The 14,436-nt window shown below is 45.9% G+C and overlaps 1 protein-coding gene and 1 pseudogene across 24 annotated transcripts in view, besides 1 other annotated feature; one reads left to right on the plus strand and one right to left on the minus strand.

The window, feature by feature from the left end:
* EHMT1 (euchromatic histone lysine methyltransferase 1) overlaps positions 1–14,436 on the plus strand; it is a 217,123-nt gene that overhangs the window by 15,978 nt on the left and 186,709 nt on the right. For 3 of the 24 annotated variants that reach the window (XM_047423872.1, XM_047423875.1, XM_047423878.1), the window contains exon 2: positions 11,354–11,456. The exons of 20 other annotated variants lie outside the window; for them this stretch is intronic. In XM_047423872.1, the coding sequence (XP_047279828.1) occupies positions 11,445–11,456 (12 nt within the window). In that variant the 5' untranslated portion in view covers positions 11,354–11,444. Of the gene's footprint in view, positions 1–910; positions 9,097–11,353; positions 11,457–14,436 lie in introns of those variants that run through there. One more of the 24 variants, XM_047423873.1, reaches the window with a different exon arrangement.
* SETP5 (SET pseudogene 5) lies at positions 5,840–6,725 on the minus strand (annotated as a pseudogene).
* Positions 12,322–12,391: an enhancer, noted in NCBI's record as "active region_29357". NCBI's record gives its function as "activates an Ori minimal core promoter by ATAC-STARR-seq in GM12878 lymphoblastoid cells {active_cell/tissue: GM12878}" and the evidence as "EXISTENCE:reporter gene assay evidence [ECO:0000049][PMID:35858748]".

Below are 14,436 nucleotides of genomic sequence, written 5' to 3' on the forward strand. Positions count from 1 at the left end.
GTGCTGGGATTACAGGTGTGAGCCACTGCGCCCGGCTGTCACTTGGATTTTCGTATGAGTTTTAGGATCTTGTTGTCAATATCTGCAAAAAAGCCTTTCAGGATCTTGAAAGGGATTGTGTTGAATATGTAGATCAGTTTAGGATATCGCCATCTTAATAGCAAGTCTTCCAATTGGGGAACACCGGATGCTTGTCCATTTATTTAGGTCTTCTATTTTATTTTATTTTATTTATTTATTTTGAGACAGAGTCTTGCACTGTCACCTGGGCTGGAGTGCAGTGGCGTGATCTCGGGTCACTGCAACCTCCGCCTCCTGAATTCAAGCCATTCTCCTGCCTAAGCCTCTCGACTAGCTAGGATTACAGGCACCCATCGCCACGCCCAGCTAATTTTTTTTTTTTAATGTATTTTTGGTAGAGACGGAGTTTCACCATGTTGGACAGGCTGGTCTTGAACTTCTGACCTCGTGATTCGCCCTCCTTGGCCTCCCAAAGTGTTGGGATTACAGGCATGAACCACTGCGCTCGGCCTTCAGTTTTCTTTAACATTTTCAGAGCTGGGCGCGGTGGCTCACGCCTGTAATCCCAGCACTTTGGGAGGCCGAGGTGGGTGGATCACGAGGTCAGGAGATCGAGACCATCCTGGCTAACATGGTGAAACCCCGTCTCTACTAAAAATACAAAAAATTAGTGGGACGTGGTGGCGGGCGCCTGTAGTTCCAGCTACTCGGGAGGCTGAGGCAGGAGAATGGCATGAACCTGGGAGGCGGAGCTTGCAGTGAGCTGAGATGGTGCCACTGCTCTCCAGCCTGGGCGACAGAGCGAGACTGTCTCAAAAAACAAAACAAAACAAAAAACAATATTTTAATGTATAAGTTTTGTAGTTATTTCTTACAAGTATTTTATTCTTTTTGATGCTTTTATAAATAGAATTAAAAAAAATTTTTTTTTTTTGAGATGGGGAGTCTTGCTCTGTCGCCCAGGCTAGAGTGCAGTGGTACGATCTCGGTTCACTGCAACCTCCGCCTCCTGGGTTCAAGCAGTTCTCCTGCCTCAGCCTCCTGAGTAGTTGGGATTACAGGTGCATGCCACCACGCCTTGCTAATTTTTGTATTTTTAGTAGAGATGGGGTTTCACCATTTTGGCCAGGCTGATCTTGAACTCCTGACCTCAGGATCCACCCACCTCCAGCTCCCAGAGTGCTGGGATTATAGGCGTGAGCCACCATGCCCAGCCACATTTCATTTTTAGATTGCAATTGTATAGACATAAAATTGATTTTTATATATTGGATCTTGTATCCTGCAACTTTGCTGAATTTTTTTTGGTGTGGATTCCTTGGGATTTTCTATATATAGGATTATGTCATTTGGGAATAGAGTTGTAGTTCTTCCTTTTAAATCTGGACACTTTTTTGTCCTTCCCTAATTGCCCTGGCTAGTAAAATGTTGAATAGAAGTGGTGAAAGCTGACATTCCCATCTTCATTCCTGTTTTTAGAGGAAAGCTTTTAGTTTTTCACCATTAGGTATGATATTAGCTATGAGTTTTTCCATAGATGCCCTTTACTAGATTGAGGAATTCCCTTTTATTTCTAGCTTGTTGAGTGTTTTCATTATAAAGGGGTTTTGGATTTTGTCAAATGTTTGTCTCTATCTGTTGACATGATTATGTAGTTTTTTTCCTTTATTGATATGGTGTCTTACATAGATTTTCATATGCTCAACCAGCCCTGCGTTTCTGCCCTAAATCCATTTGGGTATGTTATCTAATCCTTTTTAAATCTTGTTGAGTTTGATTTGCTAGTATTTTGTTGGGGATTGTTGCATCTTTGTTCATAAGTGGTATTATGTTGGTCTGTAGGTACCTCTTTTTAAAAAAAATTTATTATTTTTTTTTGAGACAGTTTCACTCTTTTTTTTTTTTTTTTTTTGAGACAGAGTTTCGCTCTGTCGCCCAGGCTGGAGTGCAGTGGCGCGATGTCAGCTCACTGCAAGCTCTGCCTCCTGGGTTCACGCCATTCTCCCGCCTCAGCCTCCTGAGTGGCTGGGACTACAGGCACCTGCTACCACGCCTGGCTATTTTTTTGTATTTTTAGTAGAGATGGGATTTCACTGTGTTAGTCAGGATGGTCTCGATCTCCTGACCTCGTGATCTGCCCGTCTCCACCTCCCAAAGTGCTGGGATTACAGGCGTGAGCCACCGCACCAAGCCCAGAGTTTTACTGTTGTTGCCCAGGCTGGAGTGCAGTGGTGCAATCTTGGCTCACCACAGCCTCCGCCTCCTGGGTTCAAGTGAATCTCCTGCCTCAGCCTCCCGAGTAGCTGGGATTACAGGCATGCTCCACCATGCCAGGCTAATTTTGTATTTTTAGTAGAGATGGGATTTTGCCATGTTGGCCAGGCTCGTCTTGAACTCCTGACCTCAGGTGATCCGCCTGCCTTGGCCTCCCAAAATGCTGGGATTACAGGTGTGAGCCACTGCACCTGGCCTAAAAAAATTTTTTAATTTTATTTTAGATAGGTGGTCTTGCTCTGTGGCCCTGCTGGAGTGCAGTGGTGCCATCATGGCTCACTTCAGTCTTGAACTCCTGAGCTCAAGTGATCCTCCTACTTCAGCCTCCTGAGTAGCTGGGACTACAGGCAAGTGCCTGTCGTTTTCTGTGTGTTATCTTTGTGTATTTGGTGCAAAGGTAATACTGGCTTCGTAGAATGAGTTGGGAAGTGTATTTCCCTCTTCCGTTTTTGGGAAGAGTTTGTGAAGCACTGGTTATCACGCCTTTAAATGTTTGGTATAATTCACCTGCGAAGCCATCTGGATCTTGGCTTTTCTTTGTTGGAAGCTTTAAAAATTATTAATTTCCTTATTTGTTCTAGGTGTGTAGGTTTTCTGTTTATTCCTGAGTTATCTTTGTTGTTGTGGGTCTTTCTGAGAATTTGTTCATGGCATCCAGGTTATCTAGTTTCCGGTATGCAGTTGCTCGTATGTTCCCTGTGACCATTTTTATTTCTGTCAGGGCTTGTGTTCCCCTTTGACGCTAATAAATTTTGGTAAGTGGGGTCATTTTTCTCTTTTTCTTGGTCATTCTAGCTAAAGTTTTGTGAATTATGTTGAATTTTTCAGAGAAGCAACTTTTTTTTTTTTTTAAGATGGAGTCTCGCCCTTTTGCCCAGGCTGGAGTGCAGTGGTGCGATCTCGGCTCACTGCAAGCTCCGCCTCCTGGGTTCAAGCAATTCTCCTGCCTCTGCCTCCTGAATAGTTGGGAATATAGGCGTGCGCCACCATGCCCAGCTAATTTTTTGCATTTTTAGGAGACGGAGTTTCACCATGTTGGCTGTGCTGGTCTCGCGCTCCTGACCTCAGGTGATCCACCCACCTCAGCCTCCCAAGTAGCTGAGATTACAGGCACCCGCCACCACGCCCGGCTAATTTTTGTATTTTTAGTAGAGATGATGTCTCACCATGTTGGCCGAGGTGGTCTCAAACTCCTGACTTCAAATGATCCACCCGCCTTGGCCTCCCAAAGTGTTGGGATTGCAGGCATGAGCCACTGCACCCGGCCTAGTTTTTTACTAGTTTCTTAATGCTTTTAGCTATGTTATAGAATAAATTGCATTCCCCTAAAAAATATGTTGAAGTCCTAAACCCCATACTTCAGAATTTGACCTTATTTGGAAATAGGGTCATTGCAGATTAGTTAAGATGAAATCATAGTTGAGTAGGGTAGGCCTCTAATCCAGTATGACTTACGTGTCCTCATAAAAAAAAAAGGATGCCTTGTGAACACAGACATGCACAGAAGGAAGACAGCATGCGGACACACAGGGAGAAGTGGCGCATGACTGGGGTGATGCTTCCATAAGCCAAGGAGTGTCAGGGACGGCCAGCAGACCCCAGAGCCTGGCCGAGGCAGGGGATGGCACTCCAAAGCCATTACAGACCACAAGGCCTACTGACACCTTCATTGTGGACTTCCAGCCTTCAGAACTTCGAGACCATACATTTCTATTGTTACATGTGTCCTAGGAAAAAACAGGCTGCTTCCTATAAATGTTGATATGTTGTATTTTCATTTTTATTCAGTTCAGAATATTTTCTATTTTCCCTTGTGACTTTAGAAGTGTGTCATTTAATTTCTAAATATTTAGGTATTTCCTGGATTTCTTTGTTTTGTTGATTTCTAATGTAATTCCTGTATGGTCAGAATTATACTTTGTATAGTTTCAGTGTGTTTAATTTGTTAGATTAAAAAAAAAATCCCGTATTATATTCTGTCCTGGGGAATGTTTCATCAGTGCTTGAAAATAATGTGCATTATGAATTTATTAGGTGGAATGTTCCCTATATGTCAGATTGAATTGGTTGATAGTATTAAGTCTTCCTTATTCTTTCTCATTTTCTTTCTAGTTCTATTAGTTATTGAGAGTAGAGTATGAGATCTACAGTACTGTCGAATTTTACATTTTCACTTTCAGTTCTGTTGGTTTTTGCCTCGTGTTTTGAGACTATGTTATCTTGCGTGTGTTTATAGTTGTTACATCTGCCTGGGTGTTTTGACACTTCTCTCATTATGAAATGTCCCTCTTTGTCTCTATAAATGTTTTTGTTTTAAAGTCTATTTTGTCTGATGTCAGTATAGCCACTTCAGTTTTTTTATGGTTTATTTTTGCATACTATATCTTTTTCTGGCCTTTTAATCTCTTTGTATCTTCAATCGAAGGGATGTCTCTTACAGTCCTTTCCATCTGAGATCGGATCTTGTAGATTCAGCAGTTGAATCATATATATGTATTTTTCTTACCTGATAGAAGAGATTTTATTTTTAAAGTGTCACCTTAGACTGCAAGGATGTCTGTTGTACCTCCCCATTAATCAGCCAGAGGAGGAGCTGTGATATCAGAATGCCCACTCAACCCACCAGACATTTGAGACCCACCCTTTGCTGGCCTTCTGTAACCTTATTTATTTAGAGACGGAGTCTCGCTCTTGTTGCCCAGGCTGGAGTGCAATGGCGCGATCTTGGCTCACCGTAACCTCTGCCTCCCGGGTTCGAGTGATTGTCCTGCCTCTGCCTCCCGAGTAGCTAGGATTACAGGCATGTGCCACTGTGCCCGGCTAAGTTTTATATTTTTAGTAGAGATGGGGTTTCGCTGTGTTGGCCAGGCTGTTCTTGAACTCCTGAACTCAGGTGATCCGCCTGCCTCGGCCTCCCAAAGTGCTGGGATTACGGGTGTGAGCCACCGTGCCTGGCCTGTAACCTTATTTTTTAAAGCTTTTAATTTTAATTTTTGTTTTGTTTTATTTTTGTGTGTTTTAGAGACCTGGTCTTGCTGTTACCCTGGCTGGAGTGCAGTGGCGTGATCATAGCTCACTGCAGCCTTGACCCTGGGCTCAAGCAGTCCTCCCACCTTGGCTTCCTGATCAGCTGGGACCACTGGCATCTGCCACTATGTCCAGCTAATTTTTAAATTTTTTGTAAAGATGGGGTCTTCCTATGTTGCTCAGGCTGGTTTTGAACTCCTGGCCTCAAGTGATCCTCCCATCTTGGTCTCCCAAAGTGCTAGGATTACAGGTGTGCACCCCTGTGCCTGGTCTGAAATTTTCTTTTTTTAATCAAGAGCAAGTAGATACATGTTTTCTCTGAGCCCAATATGCAGAGAAGGAAAAAATGCTAGAATTCTCTGCATTATAGGGGCCTGGCGCCCTTTAGCTTCCAACAGTGCAAAGGGGGCAGAAAGTTGTTCTTTTTTCCATAGAACATGGTGATGTTGATTCCATACAAGTTTGTTGAGATAGGAAGGGATAAAAATGAGTTTGAAACAGAAAGAGGTAGAGATTCTTTTCACATTTTATTCTCCTCAAGGTATTTCCCCCCCAGATAAGTTGAGATCCACGGTGTAGACAAAAGAGACCTCAAGAACTGGGTGAGCACAAGAGGGAAAAAGCAAGACTGCACCTTGCTCCCGGGAACTGGAGACAGCTTTAAAAAAGGAAGGTTCTAATCCATGTGTGTTCTATTAGTTATCTTCTCCTTATCCCGTTCCTCATCAGTGTCTTCCAGTTCCTCCTCCTCATCATCTTCGTCTTCTCCTTCTTTATCATCCATATTGGGAACCAAGGAGCACTGTGATGAATTTGGCCAAGTATGGTCTTTGCTGACCTCTCCTAACTCATCTGCACCTGCGTCAGAATGGCCAGTAAACCAGGTGAAGAACCTGTCTGGTTCCTCAGGATGCCTCTTCCTACTGGCTTTATTCTGCATTTGACTTGAAGAGTTTCCTTTCCAGATTTCCATTTGATTTCCGTGGACTTTGAAGATGGATCATGACTCTCATTCAGATGAAATTCTTTGAGAGAGCTTTATTTTTGAAGTAAGGATTTTCGTCAAAATAAAAACCTATTCTGTAACCTGATTTAATATCTTCAAATTCTGTCACTTCAGCACTGGTCAAACAATGCAGTGCCTCTTCATCCTCCTCCCAAGCAGTGCAGACGCTTGTGGATGGCTGACAAATGTTATTACCCAGAAATTGGGGATTTTGGGAATCAATTCTCATCTGCCCTGAAGAACGTGGTTGGCCGAATTTGTCTATGTTCGCTCTCCCAGTCCGCTTGCCGCTCACTTGCTAAGCCTGTTTCTGAAGCCTGTTTTGTGCTGTGCTTCCTCGTGGGCTTGGTTGCCGCTTGTTCTGTTCCTCTCTTCCTCTGGCCTCTGTCAGGGGCTGGCGCCATGTCTTCCTTTCAGGCAGGGGCAGAGACGGGTGTTTGGGGGTCATTCCGGGAGGAGAGTCTGGACCCAAGGGCCTCCTTGCTCATCAGGAAGAAGCTCATAGGACTAAGATCACATTTTTTTTTTTTTTGACATGGAGTCTCGCTCTGTCACCCAGGCTGGAGTACAGTGGCATGACCTTGGCTCATGGCAACCTCTGCCCCCATGCCCTCCAACTCCATGGTTCAAGCTGTTCTCCTGCCTCAGCCTCCTGAGTAGCTGGGACTACAGGCACCCACCACCATGCCTGGCTAATTTTTGTATTTTTAGTAGAGACGGAGTTTCGTCAAGTTGGCCAAGCTGGTCCTGAACTCCTGACCTCAGGTGATCCACCCGCCTCGGCCTCCCAAAGTGCTGGGATTACAGGTGTGAGCCACTGCGCCCGGCCCCAAATTTTTTAATCTATTCCCCCAGTCTCTACTTTTCATGTGGGACAGGTAATGCGTTTCATCTAATGTAATTACTGAAAGGTAGGGTTTATACTTGTCGATTTTGTATTTGCTTTCTGCGTCTTCTGTCTTTTTTGTTACTTTCTGCCTCAGTTAGTTTTTGTTCTTCATGGAGATGGAGTTTCACTATGTTGCCCAGGCTGGAGCGCAGTGAGTATTCATAGGCATGATCATAGTGCACCGTGGCCTTGAACTCCCGGGCTCACAGGATCCTCCCACCTCAGCCTCCTGAGTAGCTGGGACTGCAGGCGTACCACAACGCCTGACTCATTGCTTTCTTCTTTTGTGTTAGATATTTTCTAGTGTATACCATTTTAATTCCCTTGCTGTTTATTTGACTGTATTTTTTATTTGTTTTCTTGGTTGTCCTGGGGATTACAATTTAGTATATTAATTTTTGATAATGTAGTTTGTATTAATACTATATTACAATACTATATGAAATATTTATTTGGGCATAGCTTAATTTCTTTTGCCCTTCTTGTACTGTTATTGTCATACAAATTACATTACACTGTGTGCCCATCTACGCAGATTTATAGTTGCTGCTTTACGCAATTGTCTTTCAAATCATATAGGAGAAAAAACAAATTATAAATTAACAAATACATTTATACTGTCTTATGTAGCTGCTTTTATACTTTACCTGTGTAGCTGCTTTTACTGGCGCTCTTGATTGCATTCCCCTCCCCTCCCCTCTTGACAGGGTCTCGCTCTGTCACCCAGGTGGGAGTACAGTGGCACAATCATAGCACTGCAGCCTTGACCTCCTGGGCTAAAGAGATCCTCCTGCCTCAGCCTCCCGAGTAGTTGGGACTATGGGTGCGTGCCACTATTCCCTGCTGATTTTTAATTTTTTTTTTGTAGAGATGGGGTCTCACTGTGTTGCCCAGGCTGGTCTCCAACTCCTGGTCTTAGAAGATCCCTCCTACTTGAGTCTTCCAAGGTGTTGCGGTTGCAGGCATGAGCCACCGTGCCTGGCCTTGGTGCTCTCTATTCATGTGGGCTTGAGTTACTGTCTAGTGTCCTTTCATTTATCCTGAAGGACTCTTAGGTCTTTCAGTGATGAACTCTCTACTTTTGTTTATCTTGGAATGTTTTATTTTTCCTTTATGAAGGTAGTTTTGTGTATAAAGGTTTTTTTTTTTTTTTTTTTTTTAGACAGAGTCTCACCCTCTCGCCCAGGCTGGAGTGCAGTGGTGCCATCTCGGCTCACTGCAAGCTCTGCCTCCCAGGTTCACGCCATCCTCCTGCCTCAGCCTTCCGAGTAGCTGGGACTACAGGACTACAGGCACCTGCCATCACGCCTGGCTAATTTTTTGTATTTTTAGTAGAGACGGGGTTTCACCGTGTTAGCCAAGATGGTCTGGATCTCCTGACCTCGTGATCTGCCCACCTTGGCCTCCCAAAGTGCTGGGATTACAGGCGTGAGCCACCGCGCCCGGCCGTATAAAGGTTTTTTAGTACTCTGAGGGTATTGTCTGGCTGCACTCCATGGTTTCTGATGAGGAACCATTGCTCATCTCTCAGGACCCTCGTTCATGACACGTTGCTCCTCTGTCGCTGCTTTTGAGAGTCTCTGTCTGTGGTTTCAGCCTGATGGTGATGTGTGTAGGTGTGGAACTCTTTGCGTTTTTCTCATTTGGATTTGTTGAGCTTCTTAATTTTTTTGACTTGACTGCTGCCTTCCAGGGATTTGGGAACTTTGTGATGAGTACTTCATCTGCAGCATGCGTTGTCTTCTCACCCCTGTCTGACGTGTCATTGCGTGGTAAACAGAGCTTTGCCATACAATTGCAGTTGCAGTGTGGATTAAAGGGACAGCACTTGAGGGCCGCTCCTCCCTTCTTGTTTTGACGATGGGTGTGAGCTGTCTTGGTAAGTGGCAGTAGCAGTACGGTGACCAGGTGGCACTCGGCACGGCTGATCCCGCCGTGCATTGCGGAGCAGCACTATGGCCCACCAAGAGGCCCATACGTGGTCTCTGGGAAGCTGCTCAGCTTTCTTATGGCAGGAAAGCAGCCACGGGCAATACGTAAACAAGTGGGGGTGGTTGTGTGCTGGTAAAACTGGAAGTGTTTGGAAACTGGAATTTGAGTTTCATATCACTCTTGAAACAGTCACATACTTTTTTTTTTTTTTGAGATGGAGTCTCATTTGGTTGCCCAGGCTGGAGTGCAGTGGCGTAATTTTGGCTCACTGCAACCTCTGCCTCCCGGGTTCAAGCAATTCTCCTTCCTCAGCCTCCCGAGCAGCTGGGAGGATTACAGGCACATGCCACCACGCCCAGCTAATTTTTGTATTTTTAATAGAGACGGGGTTTCGCCATATTGGCCAGGCTGGTCTTGAACTCCTGACCTCGTGATCCACCCGCCTCGGCCTCCCAAAGTGCTGGGATTACAGGCGTGAGCCACCGGGCCCGGCCAAAAACATTCACATACTTTTTATGAGTTATGTATCTAAAAGTCTAAAAATCATGCTTAGCTTTCAGTTTGTACAGAAACAGGTGGCAGTCTGTAGTTTGCTGGCCCCTGATTGAGATCTAGTCATTGTTTCCAAAGCACCTTGTCTTTTGATGTAACATTTATTTTGTGTTTTAATTATTGGTCTTTTGGTTGTCTCAATTGCTAGATTGTAAACTCTTTGAGGTTAGGGCTCTATTTATTTATTTATTTATTATTATTTTTTTTAAGAGACAGTCTCCCTCTGTTGCCCAGGCTGGAGTGCAGTGGTGCGATCTCAGCTCACTGCAGTCTCCACCTCCCAGGTTCAAGTGATCCTCCTGCCTCAGCCTCCCAAGAAGCTGGGATTACAGGTGTGTGTCACCACGCCCGGCTAATTTTTGTATTTTTAGTAGAGACGGGGTTTCGCCATGTTGGCCAGGCTGCTCTCGAGCTCCTGGCCTCAAATGATCCGCCTGCCTCGGCCTCCCGAAGTGCTGGGATTACAGGCGTGAGCCGCCACGGCCTGCTTATTTAGCTGTATTAGTTCCCCAACCCACTGAATGTTGCCTGGCACACTTCAGGGCCTTGATAGATTGTTGTGTAACCTGATACAAAAGGAGAAAGGGCCGGAATTGGCTTGCGCCTTTATTGATTTACATATGTTTTTGTGGCCCAGGGTGAATATTTTTGGAATTAACTGACTTCTCAGTGTAGACAGGAACCATTTATCCATTCATGTGTTCCTTAATTTGTTGATTTTTGTAACAAGTACTTACTGCCTTCGTGTGCCAGCTTCTGCACTGGGAGCCACATGAGAATGCACATGGCGTCTGCCTTGTACTTACAGAAGCCCTTGTGTCCTAGTTTTGAGAAAGACAAACAATTACACACTTTGGTAATTGCTATTAAAAGAGATAAACAGGGTGTGATAGAAGCAGCGAAGAGGGGCCTCCTGTAGGTGGTTAAAGGAAGGCTGTCTGTGTTTCCATCTCTGCTGCAGACTGATACACAAGTGTCTTTTTCACTCGATTCCAAATGGAATCTTAGAGAAGGGTTGGCTTTTGTACTTGCAGCGCTGAGTGGAGAGGTGGCTGTGATCTCCAGAAACGTGGCTGCAGCCCCACGTGGGCCTCAGACCCTTGAAACATGGCCATATCGAACTGAGATGTGCTATGTGAAATGCACACTAGATTTCAGAGGCTTAGTACGATAGTTCACACTCTTTTGGTACTAATTATTTTATATTGGTTACATGTTGATAATGTTTTGGATCTATACTGAGTTAAAGGCAATTTATTAAAATTAGTTACTTCTATTTTTACTTTTTTTTTTGAGACAGAGTCTTGCTCTGTTGCCCAGGCTGGAGTGCAATGGTGTGATCTCAGCTCACTGCAGCCTCTGTCTCCCGGATTCAAGCAGTTCTCCTGCCTCAGCCTCCCGCGTAGCTGGGATGACAGGTGCCCACCACCACACCCAGCTAACTTTTTGTATTTTAAATAGGGATGGGATTTCTCCATGTTGGCCAGGCTGGTCTTGATCTCCTGGCCTCAGGTGATCCGCCTGCCTCGGCCTCCCAAAGTGTTGGGATTATAGGTGTGAGCCACTGTGCCTGGCCTATTTTTACTTTTTAAATGTAGATGCTAGAAATTTAAAATGATGTCTGTGGCATTTCCTGTCTTTCTGTGGGACAGTGGTACCTGGCCTGAGGAACATTTCAAGTTTGTGCTGCGGGCAAGAATCCTGTGACCACGGGGAGAGGACGAGGGACTCATTCTCTGGACAATGGGCTGGAAAGTAAGAGGGCTGAATGGGAGCCCCGAGGAGTGCTCCCGTTTTGTGGGAGAGAGGAGCTAGTCAGCAGGTGGAAAGCAGCCTTGGCTGCCCAACCCTGGAGCCTGGGGGAGGCCCCCGAGCGTGTGGGCTGGGGTGGTCTGGGGTGGTCTGGGGGAGGCCCACGTGCATGTGGGCTGGGGTGGCCTGGGGGAGGTGTGGCGCAGTTCTGTTGTTTTCACATCTCGCAAGGCACGTGTGTTGTCATGAGCTCTGGCCGAATTGGAGGCTGGGTTTGATCCCCTCACTGCCGCAAATCTTGTAACGTTGGATGTCTTAACTGATTTTCAGCTTTAACATTATCTCCTACTGTCTTTGAAAACACGGCTATTCATGTTCAGCTTCTTCCTTACCTTTCTGTACCTTAAATTCCAGTCCCTCAGGTTTCCTTCTGCCTGTGCTGTTTCCAGTCCCCACGTGGCTGAGCCCGCTGCAGCAGGCTTTGGTCTCCACTACTCCTCAGATGCCCTTTTGGTTATGGTCACCATTGACCTAGACATTGTCATTGGTTAGTTCTCAGCCTTCGTCTTACTGGTTCTTTCACCAGCATTTGTTATCATAATTCAAGCAAAAAAAACCTGGGATTAGTTGTCTCCGTTTGGCTTCTAGAACACTGCACTCTTCTGGTTTCCTGCCGCCTCCTTCTTCCCAGTCCTGTTTGGAGGACCCGCCTCTTAAGCCTGACTTCTAAATATTGACGTGCCCGAAGTCCCAGGCTGGTCCTCGTGTTGTGTGTGTCCTTATTCCCTGAGCTATCCAGTCCTCTGTTGACCCCAGGCTCGTGCCCCAGGCTGACCTCTTTGCTGTGGCTCCAGGTTGACTCCATGTTGACTGCATGGAAAACTGATAGGCACCTTCTGCCCAGCATGAAACGCAGCTCTCTTGGTCTGCCTCTCGCCCCGCAGCGCTAGACACCATCTGTAGAATGGCATTTCCCAGGAGACGCTGTCGGCTCTACCTTTATGACACAGCTTCTGCACTCCATGGCTGTAATGGGGTCCCAGCTTCTTCTCCCTGCTTTTTGGTGGCCCCTGTGCTCTCTGCTCAGGGGCAGCAGTCTTTGCCAGGCGTTGCTGCTCTGCACGCAGACTTCCTGTGCCTTCTGGGCTCTGCTCTTGCCTTTTTTTTTTTTTTTTTTGAGATGGAGTCTTGCTTTGTCACCCAGGCTGGAGTGCAGTGGTGCAATCTTGGCTTACTGAAACCTCCGCCTCCCAGGTTCCAGTGATTCTCCTGTCTCAGCCTTCCGAGTAGCTGGCATTACACGCGTGCGCCACCATGCCCAGCTAATTTTTTTGTATTTTTAGTAGAGACGGGGTTTCACCGTGTTGCCCAGGCTGGTCTCGAACTCCTGAGCTCAGGCAATCCACCCGCCTCGGCCTCCCAAGGTGTTGGGATTACAGACGTGAGCCACCGCGCCCGGCCGCATCTGTGGACACTTGCTCTCGCTCTCTCCTGCTTTCTTTTTCTTCAGAGCATTCGTACTCTTTGCATTGACTGTATGCTGGGAAACCACTCTGCCCTTCCTTCCCCATTTGTTTGTTGACACTTTTCTCAAGGAAGAGCTTTCTTTCCCCTTTCATATTTTTTTGGCATTACTATAGAATGGCTCCTGAGGTAATGAATTTGTACTTATTAAATGTGTTAAAATCTATTTTCACCATTTGTCCTTTTGAAACTCAAATTATTCCAATATGGCCAGTGAGAGCCCTTCAAGCAATATTCTGTTTGGGACAGCAAAATCGTAAGAGACCATATTGTATAATCTTCAGCAATTAAATCTGAACACCTAGATGAAATGAACTATACCTGGAAAACCCAAAAGAGTCAATGTTAAAACACAGACAGTGAAATTCAGTAAAGGAACTGGATATAAAATTGATACATTAAGTCAGTAGCCAGCTGGGTTGTGGTGGTTCACGCCTGTAATCCCAGTACTTTGGGAGGCTGAGGTGGGAGGACTGCTTGGGCCCAGAAGTTTCAGACCAGCCTGGGCAACATAGAGAGACTCCTTCTCTCCAAAAAAAAAAAAAAAAAATAGTTGGGCATGGTGCCTCATGCCTGTGGTCCCAGCTACTTGGGAGGCTGAGGCGGGAGTGTCATCAAGAGGTTGAGGTTGCAGTGAACTGTGATCACAACACTGCACTCTAGCCAGGGCATTCGAGCACTTGGAACAGAAGACTTGAACTCTGGAAATACATTTGTTGTTCTTGGACATCATAAACATGTTAGTTCTCCCAAGTTAATGCAAAAACTTATCCTTTATGTCTGTAAAAATGCCAACAAGGAATCATTCTTAGTCCTGCCTTCCCCTCTCAAATTCAGCTGGTTCATCAGAAGATCCCATCAGCCTCATCCTCAGGGTGCATCCCGTTTCCCTGACTTCTCTCCCTATCATGGCATCACTGTTGGGCCCAAGCCACCACAGTGCCCTGCTTGGATTATAGTAGTCACCCTTTAGCTGGTCTTCCTAGTTTTTCTGCTTATGAGCTGTACCATCTTATCCATTTGCCACCCAAAAAGCCAGAGACTGATCCTGGTTGTCGTATCGTGCTTGAGCTTCATCACTGGGGAAACTGGGCATCAGTGGGTTGAGTAGTGTCTTCCCAAATTCACATTCCCCTGTGACTTCAGAAATAGTGTTCTCCCAAATTCAGATCCACCCGTGACTTCAGAAATAGTGTTCTCCCGGCTGGGTGCAGTGGCTCATGCCTGTAATCCCAGCACTTTGTGAGGCCAAGGCGGGTGGATCATGAGGTCAGGAGTTTGAGACCAGCCTGGCCAAAGAGACCAGCCTGGTCAACATGGGGAAACCCTGTCTTTACTAAAAATATAAAAATTAGTCGGATGTGGTGACGGGTGCCTGTAATCCCAGATACTGCGGAGGCCGAGGCAGGAGAATTGCTTGAACCTGGGAGGCGGAGGTGGCAGTGAGCTGAGATCGCGC

Source organism: Homo sapiens, chromosome 9 (genome assembly GCF_000001405.40).
Source record: "Homo sapiens chromosome 9, GRCh38.p14 Primary Assembly".
NCBI classification, from domain to species: Eukaryota; Metazoa; Chordata; class Mammalia; order Primates; family Hominidae; genus Homo; species Homo sapiens.